The following is a 20,293-nucleotide window of genomic DNA, read 5'->3' as shown; positions in this document are numbered from 1 at the left end:
CTGCCAGGCCACTAAACTCCTCGCATATTGAACACAGTCCCAAAGGCAGCTTGTGGTACCATTTCCACTGGGAAATACTCAATGGCTTCCTTCATCCTGTTTTCAAGCTTGTCAGAAAGCAGATGCTGCTCAAATCTGACAGCTGCTCTTAAGGGCACGCTCAAAGGGCACTCCCTGACCAGTGGGAATATTCTTAATGATGACTGAGAGGCCTTGGGTGTTTAGACTATGGCAAGACAAAGGAGCGAGCATGAAAGGGCATCAAGGGTAAAATGGCCCTAGGGAAACCATACGGGACTTGAATTGGAAAACACCAACAGCCTCGCTCCTTTCTCTGGACTGTGTATCTTTGGGAAGTTCTAATTTGGAGAAGACCTGACTCCTTATCCACCTGCCACAGAGAAAGTATTAATAAAATATGAGGCTAGGGTCTATGAGAAGTGGCCCAGGAAAGCCATCTATGCAAATTTTGTTTCCTTCCTACTTGAGAGGGTTGGGGATGAGAGGTCCTTCCTTCCCTGGCTCATAAGCCCATGAGTTGTGTAAAACACTGTTCAAGAAGGCAGAATATAAGCCCTCTGTTGTGCATGATATTCATATTCTTGAAAGAATTAGTGTATAAATCAAATTTTACCTGCCAGAGAAGCTGGCTTTTCAAAATAAATTTGAAGTCAATCCTATGTTTAAACAGAAGGATGGCTTGTAAAGGTGAATAACCATCCTAGGTCACAATTTGCAAATTGGGAACTCTGAATGTCTGACTTGGATGGTGGGGCAGGGGGTTCTGTCTAGAGATTAATCTATGGTTTGCTTTTAGGTTGCAACTAAGCATTACTTTAAAACAAACAAAAGACTGAGTTTTTAAAGAACATTTTTAATGGAAAATTTCAAATATATATATATATATATATAGAGAGAGAGGGGGCCCACTATGATAAACACACAGCTTCAGTGATTCTCAACCCATGGCCAATCCTGTGAGAAACATGAACTTTTGAACCAGCTGACAGATATAGAGGATGAACTTCGTGGTACAGAACAAAAAGAAGTAGTCCTACTCAGGCTGCAGTATCCAAAACGTTTCTGCATAAATGCCCTAAACTAGAGCCTAAAGTGTGAAACAAAGGGGTGGAGAATATTATTGGTTCGCGACCAAATAAGAAACCTGGGAATTAAAACACAAAACAAAACCACACACACATACAATCTCTCTGAGGGATGCAAATTAATAGTAACACTGGTTGCCTTCAAGGAGGGCAGAAAGACTGGAGCGATTTTCATTATATGTTTTTTAAAAATTTTATACTATGTGCACATTTTACCTATTTTTAAAAATTAACTTACTAAAAACAAACATGAAGCTTTGCAATAACCAAATCCACTAGATGTGACAAAAGGGAAAACTGTCTGGACTCAATATATAAGAGGACTTATATTCTGCCTTACTGAACAGTGTTTTACACAACTCATGGGCTTATGAGCCAGGGAAGGACGGACCTCTCATCCCCAACCCTCTCAAGTAGGAAGGAAACAAAATTTGCATGGATGGCTTTCCTGGGCCACTTCTCCTACACCCTAGCCTTATATTCTATTAATACTTTCTCTGTGGCAGGTGGATCTTCATCACATTTTGATCTGGATTTACTGTTTTATAGTAATTTTCTCAGCTAGAAGAATGCACAACCTTCCAATCCCAAAACGTACATCATTAGAATAGGTGCTTCACAAAATATTAAAAACACCAGCCCCTGGTGGTTATATGGATATATGCATTTGTCAAAATTCATTGAGTTGTATTCTTAGATGTGTGCACTTTATCATATGTTACTTATACTGCACTTTAATAAAGTATTGCTAAAAACAAAACAAAAAATCACAGTCCTTGTGGACAAATAAGCCAAAAAATCACCACTTAGAGGTTTGTTGGGTTGGTGGTTCAGAGAAAGCTGCTGTTATGAGGAAACATTATGTGGACTTTTTGCAAAAACTTACTCTTTGGAAACCACCACTACAGCATGTGCTTTTGGTTAAGCATTCCATGGCTGAAACGCAACTCTATGCTGAAATGCCGAGAGGATGAGGCAAAATCTTGGCCAAGGTCAAGTTCTGTTGATGGTCTGAGAGGGGGATGGCAGCCAAGTGCTCTGCACTTGTATAACATTTAAAAAAGAAAAACTAACCTAAGTCATCTTCTGTTCCTTTTTGTAGCCAACTTTAGTCCTGCTCATTGTGTCCAAGAACTCAGAGGCAGCCATATGTGCAACAGCTCAGGCTTACCAAACCTCCAGGGCCAAACATACATATCGTGATTAAAAAGAAACGAAGCCAGCCAACAGGGCTTTAGTTGATTCCATGGGATATAAGGAGAAATTTCAGAATTTTAGATAAAGTTAGGGTCCATCGAGGAGAGGGCAGAGAAATGTAGTTGAGCTTCCTGTTTGGCTAGCTGCCTACTTTTTCTGAAACAAACAACAAAAGGACCCCAATTTGGTAAAAGCAGGGGCTCATGTCTAGATCTAGGTGATTATTGTGGAAAGAGCTCCAAGATGAACACATTTGATACAAATCTGTGTTACACAATGAAAAGCCAATCCACTTTGGGACTGAAACTAAGCACAAGGATGGACTAGAAATTGTATTTTCTGTCAGGTCATAGGGGATGGAGATATAGAAAGAAATGTCTTCAGCAGCTTATAAAATGCAAACTTTACATTTTGCACATGTCTGTCTAGCTGATGCCCAGGCAAAGGCAAAGGCAAGCAGGACAAAGTCCAAGGCATGTCAGGGTTATACAAAACAGGCTCCGGAGATGCTTCCCTGTCTCCCTGTGAGTTCTTCATGTCTTAGCACTCATGGATGGGTAAGAACACGTTAACAGTGTGGACGCCTCCAATATTCTTGGGCTGTTACAACCCCACACACAAAACACAGAAAGAGTATTTTTACTTATTGGTTTAAGGTTTTTTTTTCAAAGTACCCAATTCAATTCTCCATTACATACATATATACATACATATATGTGTGTATATATACATATGTATATATACACACATATATACGTATATATGTATATATACGTGTGTGTGTGTATATATATATAAAATCTTAATTTCTTTATCCTTAAAATGAGAAACAGTCTTTCCCCACTCAATATCCTCCCATCTACAACACCTGGCACACTTGCCTCATTTCCCTTTTACACTTATCTCCTATTAAATCCTAGAGCACTGGCAATGTGGTTAAACATACAGATTTCCCTTCTCTCTTTCTGATTATTCAGTGGACTGGGCGATAGGGAAATGTGAGCTCCCCACACACAGACATCTCTGGTGAGACAGGTATTCTGACACCAGATGGAGAGAGCAGGCTTCTCCCTAGTCAATGAGGCCATGGTGTGGCATCCTGCTTCCCTCATTACCCTTCTTTCCATGCAGTCTCCATTCCCAGCGCTGGGGGTGGGACGAGAGTGTGCAACAAAGCAGAAAGTACACAGTACTCAAGGGAAAGGGCCACATAAGGAAACAGTGGGGTGGATTACAGAATGCTACAGCTAGGAGGGCCCTTACAGCACATCTAATTCAAACCTCTATAGATACAGAAAGGAGCCCAGAAAAGTGATCTGTCCAAAGGCACACAGCTGGTGGCTGGAACCAGAACCTCAGTCACCAGCACACTTTTTTTTGATCCTCCAATACATGACAGAACTAGGTATAGGAAAGAGCAAAATTTAAAGTTCAGTTCATGAACAAGCCCCCAGCCTACCCCATCCCCACTAAACAAACATACCTCCTTTAAAATTATCCATGTTTCAGTCTCATTCCTTTTCAGCCCCCTGTAGCTGACTAAGCTCAAAATTCTGTTTCTTACCCAGGACTTAATAGATACCCTGGTGGCCTGAGTGGCCAGAATCTCAACTCCGCCCTGGCGTGCTGCAGCCTGAGAAGGGAGATCTTTAGGAAGCAGAAGTAGGGGCCGGGTGCGATGGCTCACGCCTGTAATCCCAGCACTTTGGGAGGCTGAGGCGGGCGGATCACCTAAGGTCAGGAGTTCGAGACCAGCCTGACCAACATGGTGAAACCACGTCTCTACTAAAAATACAAGAATTAGCCAGGTGCGGTGGTGCACGCCTGTAACCCCAGCTACTTGGGAGGCTGAAGCAGGAGACTCGCTTAAATCCAGGAGGCAGAGTTTGCAGGGAGCCAAGATTGCATCACTGCACTCCAGCCTGGATGACATGAGCAAAACTCTGTCTCAAAAAAAAAAAAAAAACAAAAAAAAAAGCAGCAGCAGCAGAAGCAGATTCTAAGTAGCCATTTCAACTCAGGAATTTTCTGAACCCAAACATCATGCTTATAATAATGCTGCCTGTAAACTCGGCAGCTTTTGAAGCTTATGCTGGGAGAAAGGCAACAGGCTACCCATCCAGCAAGAGAGAAAAATTCAAGAATAACAAATAGCAAAAAGCAAATGCTTTGAGTTCAGTCTGGAGGGTATGACATTATCTCCATTCAGTCACAACACAAAATGACCTTTGAGGCAGCCTGCACCACATCAGAAGGGGGTACAACCCAGGATGCATGAACTAGGTCCTTTGACAACTCTGTTCCTCTGCAAAGGCAGTTCTTGATTATCTCTCAAATGATTAACCATTTGGTCCAGTTACCCAGTTTCTAGGGGCCTTCAACCAGAGTTGGCCACAGATAAAGCTGGTTAAAAAAAAAATGGTCTAATGTACTTCCCACCTTTCTAAATAACATGCTAGCATTTAAGCAAGGCCTTGCTTCCTCAAGCAAAGGGAGTGACTAATACGTCTCCTAGCAGGCTGGTGGAATCGGTACTTTTGAACACATGGGCTGTGTGGCTGCACGTCATCCCTACTCCATTGCCTGATGCAAAACTACTCCAGGACTGGGACAGGCAGAAGGTGCTGGGCTCTTGCACAAGGGGTATCTTGGTGAATGCCTGAAAATTATACCTGAATTCCAAAACAAAAGTATTTGGGGGACTGAGCACAGTGGCTCATACCTGTAATCCCAGTACTTTGGGAGCTAAGGTGAGAGGACGGCTTGAGGCCAGGAGTTTGAGACCAGCTTGTGCAACAAAGCATGACTCTATCTCTACAAAAAAATTAAAAAATTAGCCAGGCATGGTGCCACAAGGCTGTAGTCCCAGCTACTTGGGAAGCTGAGATGGGAGGATTGCCTGAGCCCTGGAGGTTGAAGCAGCAGTGAGCCATGACTGCACCACTGCACTCCAGTCTGGAGTGAGACCATGTCAAAAAAAAAAAAAAAAAAAAAGTACTGGGGAGATTATGTATTATTTTTATGTTATTCATATCAATCAACAGTTAATCAAAACAAGAATCATTCTTATACCCTCTTTTAGTTTATCTCTTCCAACAGAAACTGATTCTCAGTGTATCCCTAAGGGGATTAGGTACTCTCAAAAAATAACCATCTTATAATAGGAAACATAAAAGACCAGAAAGAAAGATCCATTTAAAATACATAATAATTAGTAAACTAGCAAACTGAGAAAATATCTCCTTTAAAAGAAAAAATGATACTTCTTATAAGGCTGAGACATAAGGAAGGGGAAAAAAAGGAAGAAAGGATAAATAAATGAATGAAAAATTGAGAGGCAGGGTAAACTAAGAACTTAACTTACAGTCAAATGTTAGGGCCCCAAACTAATAGGCGAATAGGAAGGTGAACAAAACCTCTTTCTGCCTGCTGGATTCTTAAGAGTCTAAAATGCATGATTAAAATGGCTTTATTTCAACAGAACACATTTTGTCATCTGATCTCTATCCGTGACATGGATAAGAATAAGTAACTTATGGCTGTGCTCTTAAGCGTAAGCCGTAACAAATCCCTGAATATTGTGCCTCATTCACTTTGGGATGGCAAATCACTAATTGTTTGTGTAGCAGGGAAAAAACATCTGCCTACAGCCTATATTTTAAAATTTAAAATTTTATTTTTTTACCTTTTTTTTACATTTTTATTTTAAAATAAACAGTGTTTCCAAAAAACATTGACTACAAGGGGGAAATGAGGCAATAAGGTTGGAAGAAGGGAAGGACTCAAGAAGAAATGCTGAACCTGCAAACACAATGATCAGGGAGCATGCAGAGAGGCCCTTGCTGTGACACTGTCCTCTCACTGCTACTCCTATGAAGCCCAGTGACTATGCTGGGACACTGGAGCTAAAGGGTCAAAGAGAAGCATTTCATTCCTAAAAGGTGATGTCAATTTGTACTTAGCCCCAGCAATGTGAATCCCCCTCTTCACAGTCCAATTCTAAGATTCCATTCTTAAGAAATTACCAAAGATAGAGCCAAAGAGATATATACAAGAAACTTTATCACATCATCATTGATAATAAAAGTATCTGAAACAACCAAAATTTTCAACAGTGTGGGGATGGATAAGGTAGAACCACTAGAAATCTATTTTCAAAGATTTAAAAACATAGGAAGTTACTCGTGATACCATGTTAATCAGTGAGAGGGTAAAGTTAGGATACCAACCTGTATCTATGTATGACCTTCAATTTTGTGTAAATATACACCTTATATGCACTTTTTAATACTGAAAGGAAATTCATAAACATATCAGCAAAGTTTAGCTCTGTTTTAGATGGAGAGAAGATGGCTAATTTTTATTCTTTGTTTAGATTCTTCTGTAATGAGCATTGTTACTTTTATATCAGAAAAATAGACATTTGCCATAAAATAAGTCTACCCTCAAATCTCTGATTTAAGACGACAATTGTCAGTCTTAGGAAAAGCCTGCTAAAGTTCAAAGCAGACTCAAAGAAAAAAGATTCAAATCTACACAGTGACTCTCTCCTGAAAAGGATGAGAAATCTTGTGTGACGCAGTCTGGCTTTTTCCTCTACTTTGCTGCTGGCTCTATTTTACTGCGCCTCACAGAAAGCTCCATGGGAAAACCCTTTCCCTAGCACCTTAAATGACCTTAAGTGTTTCTCACCTCTTGGCATGAGGATTAGAAGGAAAGAAAATGAAACAGCCCTACTCCCTTGTTTCAAAGGAAAAATTTTTCTTGCAAAGCTATCAAAATGACTTAAAATCAGCTATGCAAAATTTGAAACATAAGTCATGAGTTACGTTCAGTAACCAGTTGCTTTTTTCTCAAGAATGAATATAAAAACAAATCTATGAGTGCCCTCTTGTGGCAAGCCTGACTATTACCACAACCCAAGTACCAGCCTCTCCCTGTCTATTTCCACGGCTCTCCTCCACTCCTGGGCTCCGCATAACACAGCCAGGAGGCAGAGACCCCATAATAACCCACTACAGTGAATGCACATTCCTCAAAGTGGCTGGTACTATTTGTTTTCAAGGATTTCTAGTTTAGATCCCAGAAATGCCTGCCTGAAGACAAGTGGGAATGAAGGGTCAGAAGAGCAAGATGCAGGATGTGCACGTGGGTTCATGGGCTGCTACTGATGGCCGATGGTGACTGTGTCTGGTATATCCATGCACACATACCATGGCACTGCCAGGAGGCAGGGACCTGTAGGATAAATAGCCCCTCCCCTAGGAATGCCAGTTTTATAAAGTCGCGAAGTTTTACATTTACATCCAGTGAGCCTTGTGCTTACAAGTAGTTTTATTATTAATTTTAGAGTAAACATCACCAACTTGGGCACAATTCCAAAATAGAGCTCTTGTTGGATTCTGGTCATAAAATTCTTTTTTAAGCTTGTTAAGATCTTATAAAATAAGAAAGTTTTCCCAATACTTTAGAAAAATTACTAATCATTAATAAGTCGATTTTATACTCAAAGTAATGGCCTAACATTTTGAAAGATGAAACAACGCTCCTCTTTTGAACATCTAATGTATTAAGTAAGCTCAGTGTCCCAGGCTTCAGAGGAGACAGAGAAGTCCTCATATTGCAACCTGACCAGATGACTCTGGGAGTGAATTAAATGCTTAAAAGAGGTCAGTCTTGCAAATTCGATGAAGCACAGAATACAGGGGAACTGATACTGATTCTGATAAAAGATAACATTACTCTCAGAAAGGGGTGAAGCTAAAAATCTTGCAGTTCTGGGGCAGGAGGAGTGCAACAAGCAGGCAACAAACAGCATGAAAGGAAAAGCTGAGTGAATTTCAAAGTTCTATTGGGAGATGGAGTTTGTGGTTCTTTCTGCCCCACCCAGGTCAAAGGCTCATGTCCAGAAAAGGATTTCTCCCAGTGATAGGGTGGAAGTGTGTGGCAGGAAGTTGCTGTTTGGTCCTGGAAGTGTAAAGGAAAGCCTTTTCAAGTACGTGAAGTAGACTGAAGTGACCCAGATGGGATGGATCCCAACCACATGAGTTACGGGAGAGCATGAAGCCAAAGAAATGATAATTATGAAGTTGAATTGGGAAAATAAATTTGACTCCTTGTTCACTTCTCCAGCCTTTGGAAGAACTTTTTCTCCCCTCCTAACAGGACCGATATACTGGACAGCCCCTGTTAGAGATAAACCGAGGCACTAGACAAGGAAGAAATGCATTAAAAACATTTTTTTTAAGTCTTGACAAGTCACTTCTGGGAGAATTCTTCATTTTTCCTCTGCACAGGGACAGCAGAAGAGGGAGAGTAAAAATAAAGGCGAAGGCCTCTCTTGTCCACAAAAATGAGAGGAAAAAAGACCCTGCCCGTTTAAAATCCAAAACCATAAACTCTCCTTCAAACAATATCTTTGCTCCAGCAGAAGCATCCTGGGATTAGTCTAGGTTAGTATTCTGAGTTGTGTCACACAGGCTTTGACAATTAATGATGTACTAAAATGGGAAGAGGTGACTCTTCAACCTTGGCTCCAGCTTCCCACTTGTCCTAACTGGGAGGAAAGCAGCTATCAAGACAGCTGGATGGGAAGATCTTCCCCGAATTTCCGGAGCAGCTTCTGATGGTTGTGGTCCACTGACCACTGCTGGGGCAGGTGCTTGGGCTGCATGGAGTCCAGGAAGTGCTGACGCCAGCGGCTCTCCAGCTGCATGAGGGAGCGCAGGCCACCCTGGCTGTGACACTGCACCACCTTCAGCCCGTGAGGAACATAGTTTTCATTGGAGATTCTGCCAAAACATGAAAAACAAAGTGTCTGAGGGAAACAAGCGCAGGATGGCCTCACAGACAGCTTCAAATGCTGCGCGCCAAGGGTAACTGGGGAGGTTGAAGGACTCCTAAAGGGTTAGTTACTTTGGTGTTTTCGAAACATCCTCTTTCTTATCTCTGCCCTTTTTATAGTCTGAACATACGACTCGCAATCCCAACAGAAGGTATTTGAGGGTTCTGAGCTCTACTGACAGGAAGGCCACTTCATAATGTTCAGCTCCCACGAGAGGGGCACTACCATCCAGCTGATAATGGATGAAGAATGCTGGTCTTCCATTTCTTCCAGGATTACCCAGTGACCAGTTCACCCCTCTTTTAAGTTGTTCATTCTGGGACACAGTATTTATATGAGGCTGTTAAATCGGCCCGCATGTTACACTTTTTCACAACACAATTTAATAACTGAATGTCAAATGCAAGGTAGCATATTTCTTTAGAGCCTTTTTTCTCACAAAAAGATGCCAAGCCACAGTGGTGAGAAGTGTTTCGGTCACAGTGAAATGCTTCCATGGTTGCTCAGTTGTGCAAATGGTGCCATTAAATGAGAAGATGAATGCCTCCCTCCTTCCTAACTAAGCAGAGTCCTTAAAAAACTGCTCCGATGCTGTGTGAATGGTGCTTTCACCTCCTGTGAATAAAGATGACCTTCCTCAAGGAAGCACCCTGCCCACACACACTCTCCTCTCCCTACATCCATACCCCATGTTCAATCCTCCCTCCCAAGACACCCGCCACCCCAGCAGTGTTGGCGTCTCTGGGTATCTGCAGACACTTTATTATTAATATTTAGCTCATGCGCTTCCCACTAACTTGCCTGTCTCCAAACAACTGTTCTTCTCAGTCACAAGTCCAGCATTCATCTACCCAATTCAGCAAGATGAATTTGTTAGAAAAGTCTGTGGCCGAAAGGGGAGGTTTAGCTGCTTTAGAAAACATATTGGCAGCTGGGCGTGGTGGCTCATGCCTGTAATCCCAGCACTTTGGGAGGCCAAAGCAGGAGGATCACTTGAGGTCAGGAGTTCGAGACCAGCCTGACCAACGAGGTGAAACCCTGCCTCTACTAAAAATACAAAAATTAGCCGTGTGTGGTGGCACACACTTGTAATCCCAGCTACTTACAAAACAACATCTATTCTACAACCTCACAAAATAGTTATGGGGATAAAATTCTATAATTCTTTTAAAACCCTGAAAGATTTTTTAAATTTAAGATATAGTAGCAGTTAACCAGTAAGAAATCTAAATCCTACTTTGTCGGGTTGTCATGAGAAACAATTAAGGCAATTTATGTGAAGTTTATTAGCTGGTTTGCTGCAAGATATAGTATATCTATAAATAACTGTTCAATAAATATTTGCAGTATCTGTAATGGATCAGTAGTAATGGATAAGAGTAAAAAAATTTTTGTTTTCTAAAAAAATTAAATATTTGCTTATAATTGGAGTTACTTTTTTATTTTTCAGTTAACAAAAACCAGCATCACGCTCAAGGTTTTGTGAACTTATCAGTTCCCTTATTTCAACTCCTGGTCCTGTTGGAAAAAGTGACAGTTGGGAGGCAGAACTGCGCATGGTAGCCCAGAGCTCTTACCATCTGAGCCACGTGCCCATTCATTTCTCATTTCAGAATACTGCATTGTGTCACAAGAATTCAACTATGTACTCATGGAGAAGGAGGGAGAAAGCAAGGAAGGAAAAAAGAGAAAAGTAATTTACATAGTAACAGCAATTCTGCTCAACATTCCATTCAGTGAGCCGATACCCTGGAGTGCAGGTGAGATAGGAACCATGAATTCATTAGTCACAGTTCTCACAGACCTGTATAAAGTCGGAGACACAAAACCACACATAGAATTGGCCCTCCATCTTTGTGGGTTCTGCATCTGTGGATTCAAACCTCAGATCAAAATGATTTGGGGCCAGGCACAGTGGTTCATGCCTGTAATCCCAGTTCTTCCAAGGCAGGTGGATTGCTTGAGGTCAGGAATCTGAGACCAGCCTGGGCAGCCTGGTGAAACCCCATCTCTACAAAAAATACAAAGATTAGCTGGGTGTGGTGGTGCATGCTTGTAGTCCCAGCTACTTGGGAGGCTGAGGTGAGAGGATCACTTGAGCCTGGGAGGTGGAAGTTACAGTGAGCCAAGATAGTGCCACTGCACTCCAGCCTGGGTGACAGAGCCATATACTATCTCAAAAAAACAAAACAAAAAAACCACAAAACTATTTGGAAAAAAAAAAAAAAAAACTATCTGTACTATCTGTACCAAACATGTACAAACTTTTTTCTCATTACTTCATAAACAATAAAATATAAAAGCTACTTACATAGCATTTGCATTGTATTAGGTATTATAAGTAATTTACAGGTTATTTAAAGTATACAGGAGGATGTGTGCAGGATATATGCAAATACTATGCCATTGTATATCAGGCACTTAAGCATTGGTGGATTTTAGTATCCAAGGGAGGTCCTGGAACCAATCCCCCATGGATACTGAGGGGTGAATGTACTGTATCTCATGGGGAACTTCAGAACTTCGAGGGTGTTATTGGACTATTATTTCATCTCATGTGCTGGCATGAGGATTTACGTCTGCATAGAATGTGTAAGATGCAGCTCCACCACAACTGCACTCGCACGCTAATCACAAAAATGACCGAAATTAAGTGTATGATCTTTAAAAAGGTCAAAGATAGGCACCTCACAAAAGCAAGTTTCCTATGGAAAGGAACTCCTCAAGTAGATTGTTCTATTCCACTTCCAAGGTATCTTAAACTACTAGACACCTACTAGGTGAAGCATGAGGCTAGGCACTGTGCCTAAGCAGCCAATGCCCCCTCCCTGGCAAGCATTCTCACTAAGTAATGAGGGTTAATGTCCCTGGTACATTCCACAATTCCTGTGCTTTGTACCTGGTCTCCAGGCTGGCAGCCTCTTGAAGCATCTCCTCTGTGACCACGTCTGTGTTATAAAACTCTCTGAGTGCTTGCAGCAGCTCCTCCTTTCGCTGAGTAGGCAGGCTCTCCGCGTTGAGCAGGGCCCTGGCCCCAGAACGCACCTGCCGGCGCTCAGGATCTTCCAGCAGGCGCAAGCCCTCCTCAGAGCCGATGGGGGCCTGGAACTCCTTGGCCAGCTGCTGCTTCAGATGGTTGTCATAGTAGTTGGAAATGGCATGGCAGGAGGTGCAGAGCAGCAGCACATCGTGGGAGTTGTGGTCCTTCATCTCGATGGGGAAGTGCTTCCGGTACTCATGTGGAATCACGTTCTTCCTGGAACAAGCCCAGCCGGAAAGCAGCGCTCATAAGTGTATGACAGAGCACATGGGAAGACAGCAGACAGGCTACTGGGGTTCTAACTGGGGCCTAACCATGACTGAGAAGCCTTGGGCACCACCGCCCAACACAGATCACAGAAAGGCAGTATCACCTATTCCACTCTCAGCCCATCTGTGTCTTAGCTTCCTCTCTCCTGCAAGTAAGTACAGACCACCTGCTGTGGGCTTCAGTGGTGGGCCAGCATAGTGACAGGTTAATAACAACCTCTGAGAAGGCTGTGCTCCCAGAAGGGAAAGTCTCAGAGAACTGAAAAGATACTCTAATGGCCTTTGACAACTGGAAAACAACTCTCTCAAGAAGGCCTAGGAACCTGAAAAAGCCAATTTCCTTCATCTGAGGAATACCTTAATCTATTTCCCTGGTTCACCAGGTTCATCATTATTTTCTAAGGAGAACTAAGCTCTCAGGAAAAACTCTTGGCAGCAATGACTTTGTCTCACTTTGCAGGGGAGAAAGGAGGAAAGTGAGTGACTCCACAGAAGCCAGGGAGAAAGCCCAAGTGTCTGGGCACTCAGACGTAGTCGGCAGCCTCACCCTCACAGTGCAGGGGCCCTGATGTGAAACAGTATTACAACACAGAGCAGGCTTCAGGACATCTGGATACTCCATGAATAAAACCATGGCTCAAAAAGCTGGTCAGCCAGTCAAGAGAGGATGAGAGGGACACAGCTTCTGAAGGAACTGGTCTTCAGTCTTTCATGAGCAAAAGGGAACCACTGTCCCCATGACAGACCATTACTGAGTATGGTGTTGCACTCCAGAAACTGAGAAACGGCTCAGGAGGGGTAAGGGCCACTATAGCAAGGGCGGCAGAATACCAAAGCTCTTGGGGAAGCTGGATACTAGGAACAAGCCTCTCAGCCAAAGTGGACAGACTCAGCCACAGCCCCCAAAGGCTCTGCATATGGCTACAAAAGCAATTTCCATCTGCCACAGACAACCAGGGTGGCCCAATGCTGCACTCACCGAATGTAGGAGTCTCTCTTGCCACACACTACACACAGGTTCTCTTTAACCATCAAGTAATAGTCTCCAGGAGATTCGGGCCTTCCTGCAGGTTCAAACCGTAGCTTCACCACAAAGGGCTCTTCACTCACCAGCTCTTAAGAGAAGAGACATCAGTGTTTGACTGCTCCCCCTGCCCCCACCACCACACCCAAGAAGCAGCACTACCTTCACTGTTCTCTGCTATGGCCTGGCAGAGAACATGATTTCTGGGTTGTGCCTACCCAGTCCCATGCATCTCACGGTCTCTCTGCCTTCTTCTATCCCTCCCTCTTCCTTATCTCACTCCCCACTCCTGCCAGCATCCAATGCACCTAATTAGAGATAAACAAGGACAGCTGAATCTCATACCACCAATGCCTTTGTCCAGGTACCACTGAGCTTTTCTTCTATCACAAGTGCAGAGGGGCTGTCCATCAGGAGCATGGAGAAAGCAGTTATCATAAAGAGGTGATTTTCTGCAGGGAAAGGAAAGAGAAATCTCAAACCGGAAGCTAACTGTGGGTCAAAATGTCTGTTGCCTTCCCATGCTCTCTTCTGAGTGACTCAAAACTATTCTCAACACTAAGGTCAAACACACCACTATGGAAAAAACAGAGTGAGAAACCATGTTTAATCCTCACCTGCACTGGGCTAGGAAACAGAACTAAAAATGAATGAGTTTATGCCTCTAGTTTTTACACTTATGGACTAGGACATTAGGGAGTGTGTCAAGTGGTTTACACACAGCTCTGCTGTGAATGCAAAAAAGAACCAAGCAACAAGAAAACTGCCAAATCACTGGATTAAACAAAGTACATTAAAAATTTTAAAGTTCAAGCCAAAGTAATGAGGGCCATGTGGATTTACTTCTAACTCACATGCAGTAACACTTCCTTCAATTTAATCATCCAATTAATTCCTAAAGGCACTTTGCTACAGGGACCAAATTTATGCTCCAAAGTACTTATTAGTCATCTTCCTACAATAGAGGAATAAGTTATACAGGACATTTTTCATTGGCTAGAGAGTAACATTTTCTTGGAGCTGGATGTCATTCTAAATAATCAAATAACATATGAACAAGAAATCAGATGATGCATTTCTCCTGAAAAGTATGAGGCACTACATGTTATTTATTTTCCACAGCTAGCCTGAAACAAGGAAGGAATGATAATTATATCCCCATTTACAGTTGGAGAAGTTAAGGCCTAAGGTCACATCAGGGTCAATGACAGAACTAAGCTAAGCTTTCCTCATTTCCACCCCAACTGTCAATAAATAAAAAGGTAAAATAAGGGAAAAGGAGAAAAATACACAAATAAAGCAAAGGAGAGACCAAATGTCTCTGATGGAAAGAAAAAGCAAGATTAACCCCGGGAGAGCTGCTGCTCCCCTACTACAAGCCTTCTCCCCAGACCCCAGGGAAGCATCAAACCCTTTGCTAAGGCTGGGCCACTGACTCTTTACTAGACAGGGAGTGATTCAGTTACCTGGCAGAATAGCCCACCCCCAGAGGCTTTCTTTTATGTTTTCTGGGGTCTCTCCCTTGGTGGTTGCCTGGCACCATCCCATCCATCTTAGACTTCTTATTTCTTGGCTTCTGCTGAGATTCTGTTGCTTCCCCATTAACCTCTTCTCCCAATCTGCTCATTCCTTTGCTTCGAAATGGGATGTCGACCACACCCTGGCATTTTTCCAAGACTTTTCTCCAGCTACTGTGGTCATCGTTTTTTTCTCCAGGTGAATTCCTAGAGAAAGGGTATCCAAGAAGATGAAGAAAGAGAGCCACTGAAATCTGGGCATCCCTGGCAGCATAAATTACCTGAAGAGAAAAGTCAGAGATCAGTGGAATCTGGAAGGCAAACCAGAGAGAAAAACTTCAAAGTCAATCACAAAGAAATAGATAACTCTTAGGATCCTAATTCAAAATGTACGACAACCTGGGCACCATACACTTCCTTAAAACTTCTTATTATAAAAATTTTCAAACTACACAAAAGTAAATTGAATAGTATGATTAACTCTCATGTTCCCTATGTTTTTAACTAAAATAGCTAAAATAATGACTTACTCTAAATGCTGGAAAATCCTCACCTATATAAATCAGTGAAGTTTCTATCTACTACCAAATTGCTGGACAGATTTCTCTCAAGTTTGGGGGAAGGGTAGTTAACAAAGGCCTGATAACTAGTACATGAAATTCACTTTGGAGGCAGTCATCCTCTGGAATGGCTGAAATCATGATTCATTAAGAGGCCTGTGTGACTGTCAATCAGAAATGAACTGCCATATCTATTAATATGATATTGAAAACAAAAAAAACAAATAGGTTTCAAACATGGGCCTCAAATCAAAGTCACAGGGCCCATTCCTGGAATTTACTTATTTAATAGTGGTAAGTCATTCTCCTAAGCAACTGGTGATAGGCAAGCTGGTCATAAAGAAAAGTACTGTGGGCCAGGTATGGTGGCTCACACCTGTAATCCCAGCACTTTAGGAGGCCAAGGCGAACAGATCACCTGAGGTCAGGAGTTCGAAACCAGCCTGGCCAACATGGTGAAACCCTGTCTCTACTAAAAATACAAAAATTAGCTGGGTGTGGTGGTGGACGCCTGTAATCCCAGCTACTCAGGAGGCCTAAGGCAGGAGAATCGCTTGAACCCAGGAGACGAAGATTGCAGTGAGCTGAGACCGTGCCACTGCACTCCAGCCTAGGAGACAGAACAGGACTCTATCTCAAAAAAAAAAAAAAAAAAAGTAGCGTGGTCAAAACTAAAATTCGGCTGGGTGTGGTGGCTCACGCTTGTAATCCCAACACTTTGGGAGGCTGAGGCGGGTAGATCACTTGAGGTCAGGAATTTGAGACCAGCGCAGCCAACATGGGGAAACCCCATCTCTACTAAAAATAAAAAAAATCAGCTGGGCGCGGTGGCACGCGCCTGTAATCCCATCTACTCGGAAGGCTGAGGCAGGAGAATCGCTTGAACCTGGGGCTTGAACCCAGGAGGCAGAAGTTGCAGTGAGCTGAGATCGCACCACTGCACTCCAGCCTGAGCGACAGAGTGGGACTCCATCTCAAAATAAATAAATAAATTAATTAAATTAAATTTAAAAAAAAAACTAAAATTTTAAAAAAACTAAAATTAATAGCTTTTCCCAACAAAAAGTGTAAGGACTTTAAAATTCTATTATTTCACCTTTAATAACCAAGCCAGTGAATAATTCTATTAGTAAGGATCATTTATACTTTTAGAGTAAAACAAGTTTGGATAAAATTTTCCACCTAGATCCAACAATCTACATATCTATTAGCAGACTGTTTCCCACAGAAGAATGTGTGCTTGAATGAGAAGACTTTAGAGTTCCCTCTAACACATTATTTTCTAATGATAAAGAAACAAATGGTACTAGGATGACTGGAGGTCCACATGCAAAAGAGTGAATGTGGACCCCTACCTCACAAGACACACAAAAATTAACTCAAAATGGATCACAGACTTAAATGCAAGAGCTAAAACTATATGACTTTTAGAAGAAAATATAGGAGCCAATCATCATGACCTTGGGTGAGGCAATGATTTCTTGACTATGACACCAAAAGCATAAGCAATTAAAGGAAGAGATTTTTAAAAAGAAACTGATAACTGGAGCTCATCAAAATTAAAAACTATTGTGCTTCAAACAACCAATGGTAGAAAATACTTTATAGATCATCTATCTGAAAAGGATCTAGAGTATACAAAGAATTCCTAAAACTCAAAAATAAAATAACAAATGACCCAATTAAAACATGGGCAAAGGATATGTATGAATAGACATTTCTCCACGGAAGATATACAAATGGCCAATACCCACATGAACAGATGCCCAGCATCATTAGTCACAAGGGAAATGTAAATCAAAACCACAATGAAATACCGCTTCACACCTACTAGGATGGCTCTAATGGAAAAGACTGACAATAACAAATGTCAGCAAGGATGCAGAACCCCGACACCCTCATACACTGCTGGTGGGAATACAAAATGGTGTAGCTACTTTGGAAACCAGTTAACATTTCTCAAGGATGAACAAGTGGTAACTGACTTGGCAAGCAAGGTTGAAACTAGGCCTATGCAAGTGGTATGGCAAAAAGCCTAAGTTCAAATGAGTTTGAGCCACAGAGACCAGGAAAGCATAAGGAATGGAGACACCAGGTATCTGTGAAGGCAAGGGCGGAAACAGAAGGATAAGGTGAAATCTCTATAGAGAACACTTACACCCTGATCTCCTCCTTTACAGCACAGGGCCAGACAACTATCCCTCCCCTAGCCCAAAAGACAGTAAAAGTTTAAATCATATAATGGTTAAACCACAGAGGATCTGGACCTGGTAATACCAGGCAAAACTGAAGGGAGGGACAAAATGTCACCTGAAGAAAGGGGGATTAAGGGAGAGATTACACATTGAATGTTAAAACCACTGGCACCTTTCCCCCACTCAGTGACTGGAATATAGGCAGTGGGACTTACACTTCTTGAATAGAATACTAGAAGATTCATCTGTGGAGAAACTAAGTCACCTGAGAGAAAAGACAGTTACTGACTTTTTTTTTTTTTTTTTTTTTTTTTTTACTGCTCATGCTCCCTTTCTCAAGAAACTGTTATGAATGTACTCCACCAAGGCAAGAAAGGAAGAAGACATGGAATTTAAAAAACAGAGGATCTACTATGAAAGAGAAAGGTGAAGGGAATTCCAGGCTGATGGTAAATGCAAATTCCAGGATGAGAGTTGGGCAGCAGGCCTAGAGTGCACTCCGTCCTGGGAGGAGCCAGATGATAGAGGGCTCTAGGAGAGAAGGCTCCAAGGGAAAATGAAACAAGTAAGTGACCTGACGTGTGTCTGAACCAGCCCAGAGGAGATCCATAGTTCTGATAAGGAGTCTGGGGTGGAAATAATAGGTACATGGAACACTATGCAAACAAAATACTAATTATTAATCCTGGGAAATAAAAGTAACTGCAGTTTACTATGTGACTCAGCTATAAATAATATAAATACTGTATATTAACCTGATAAAAATGATGATTTACCTAAATTGGGAGGATGGGGAAGAGAAGTATTTGTCCGGGGACAGGGGAGCTGCAAGAGTACTAAACCGTATCTCCCACAGTATGATGTCAAAAGATAATATAAATAAATAAGAAAGAATAACGCATGCATGTAATTTAGAAGTATAATGATAATTACCAGAAAGAAATGAAAGTGGTTGCCTCTGAGGAGAAGAAGGAAGAAGGATTAGGAATGGGGAAAGGTAATGCAGGGAACTACTTACTGCTTCTTAAAATAAGTTATAACTCCTACACACTTATAACACTATATTTTTTTTAAATTATACATTTGTATTCATAAAAAAAATCCCTTTTTCTGAAATGCCCAACATATAGTAAATGCTCAAAAAAAATCAGGACTCTTGGCCAGGCTCGGTAGCTCACACCTGGAGGTTGAGGTGGGTGGATCACTTGAGGTCAGAAGTTCGAGACCAGCCTGACCAACGTGGTGAAACCCCATCTCTACTGAAAATCTAAAAATATTAGCCAGGCATGGTGGTGCACATCTGTAATCTCAGCTACTCAGGAGGCTGAGGCAGGAGAATTGCTTGAACCCAGGAGGCAGAGGTTGCAGTGAGCCAAGACCGTACCACTGCACTCCAGCTTGGGCAACAGAGTGAGACTCCATCTCAAAAATAAAACAAAAGCAGGACTCTTATCCTTTATTTAAGTGATTATTGTAGACCAGTTAGCTGGAGTATCACCAGAGAATGAATCTATTTTAAGGCATCTCCATCCAATACTTATACTATATTTGAGAATTCGAATTTTATAAACAGTTATACTTCAGAAACAATGACTTTCCATTCTTCAACTACTCTGATAAGAAGTACCTGGTCCTCTGTGAGAGTCTCAGCATCCCAGTTGCTGCAACGAAGTAGAAGGGACTTGTCAAGGGGAAAGTTCAAAACAGTCTCAGCGAGGGACTTCAGGCTAAGCCCATTACAGAGCAAATTGTTTCTAAAAGAAACAAAGAAAACCATGCATCAAAAACGGGCAAAGGACATGGACAAGAAAATCAAAAAAGACATATAAATGGCCAATAAACAGAGATAACATACTGAATCTCACTAGAAATCGAAGAAAATGATAATTTGTTATCTATTTGTGAAACACTTTATAAATCCTTTCTGTAGTTTAACTCATTTAATACTCACACCAACCCTGTGAGGTGGCTACATTATCAACTCTACTTTACAGATGAGGAAACTGAGGAACAGAGAGGCTTAGTACTGTGCCAAAGGTCATACAGCTGGCAAGTGGCAGCACTGAGACTCCTACCCATGCAGTGTGCTCCCGAGTCAGCTTTTAGCCTCTATCCACACTGCCTCTAACAGCACACAGTGACAGTGGCATTCTGGGGAGCTGGTGCCAAAGAAAGGAGGGCCTGATGAAGGGGGGCTTTTACTGTTATACTCCATAGACTTTCGCAGAGTTTTAATTTTCACAGCAATATCTTAATGTATTACTTTAAAAAATTATACTTCACTTATAAGATCTTTATATAAGCCAAACTAACAAACTAAAATAAAATTTCATTTTATACTAAAAAATTGTGATAAGTACAGATTTTAATCAGGCCTTCTTTTAGTTTACCAAATCTCCAAACTTTTAGTGACTGTGTCACTTCAGGCAGGGCAAGAGGCTGTTTCAGTCCACGTTGTTATAAATGAGGACCCATACATAAACATGAGGAGGTAATTACGACTCCCCGCCCCAAAAAGACAAGCTGAAATCAAATTTCCAT

The 20,293-nt window shown here is 41.8% G+C and overlaps 1 protein-coding gene and 1 long non-coding RNA gene across 15 annotated transcripts in view, besides 1 other annotated feature; one reads left to right on the top strand and one right to left on the bottom strand.

The window, feature by feature from the left end:
- GALNT16-AS1 (GALNT16 and EXD2 antisense RNA 1) overlaps nucleotides 1–20,293 on the top strand; it is a 77,510-nt gene that overhangs the window by 10,550 nt on the left and 46,667 nt on the right. The window contains exons 3-4 of one of the 5 annotated variants that reach the window (NR_184251.1): nucleotides 10,761–10,907; nucleotides 18,093–18,650. The exons of 3 other annotated variants lie outside the window; for them this stretch is intronic. This is a non-coding gene — a long non-coding RNA (GALNT16 and EXD2 antisense RNA 1). Of the gene's footprint in view, nucleotides 1–10,760; nucleotides 10,908–18,092; nucleotides 18,651–20,293 lie in introns of those variants that run through there. One more of the 5 variants, NR_184253.1, reaches the window with a different exon arrangement.
- EXD2 (exonuclease 3'-5' domain containing 2) overlaps nucleotides 5,960–20,293 on the bottom strand; it is a 52,521-nt gene continuing 38,187 nt past the window's right edge. For all 10 annotated transcript variants that reach the window (NR_034164.2, NR_034165.2, NM_001193360.2 and 7 more), the window contains 6 exons: nucleotides 19,380–19,506; nucleotides 14,947–15,278; nucleotides 13,826–13,932; nucleotides 13,436–13,571; nucleotides 12,047–12,403; nucleotides 5,960–9,094 (listed from right to left, as the gene is read on the bottom strand). Coding sequence is in view for 8 of the 10 variants with exons in the window: in NM_001193360.2 (NP_001180289.1) it covers nucleotides 8,878–9,094; nucleotides 12,047–12,403; nucleotides 13,436–13,571; nucleotides 13,826–13,932; nucleotides 14,947–15,278; nucleotides 19,380–19,506 (1,276 nt within the window). In the remaining 2 variants the exon portion in view is untranslated. The remainder of the gene's footprint in view (nucleotides 9,095–12,046; nucleotides 12,404–13,435; nucleotides 13,572–13,825; nucleotides 13,933–14,946; nucleotides 15,279–19,379; nucleotides 19,507–20,293) is intronic.
- Nucleotides 10,632–11,256: an enhancer, noted in NCBI's record as "OCT4-NANOG hESC enhancer chr14:69705439-69706063 (GRCh37/hg19 assembly coordinates)". NCBI's record gives its function as "activates a minimal SCP1, AML or CMV promoter by ChIP-STARR-seq in naive H9 embryonic stem cells {active_cell/tissue: H9 hESC(naive)}" and the evidence as "EXISTENCE:reporter gene assay evidence [ECO:0000049][PMID:30033119]".

This window comes from Homo sapiens, chromosome 14 (assembly GCF_000001405.40).
Source record: "Homo sapiens chromosome 14, GRCh38.p14 Primary Assembly".
Classification (NCBI taxonomy): domain Eukaryota; kingdom Metazoa; phylum Chordata; class Mammalia; order Primates; family Hominidae; genus Homo; species Homo sapiens.
Note: the sequence above shows the minus strand (reverse complement) of the source record. Positions and strands in the feature narration are given on the sequence as shown.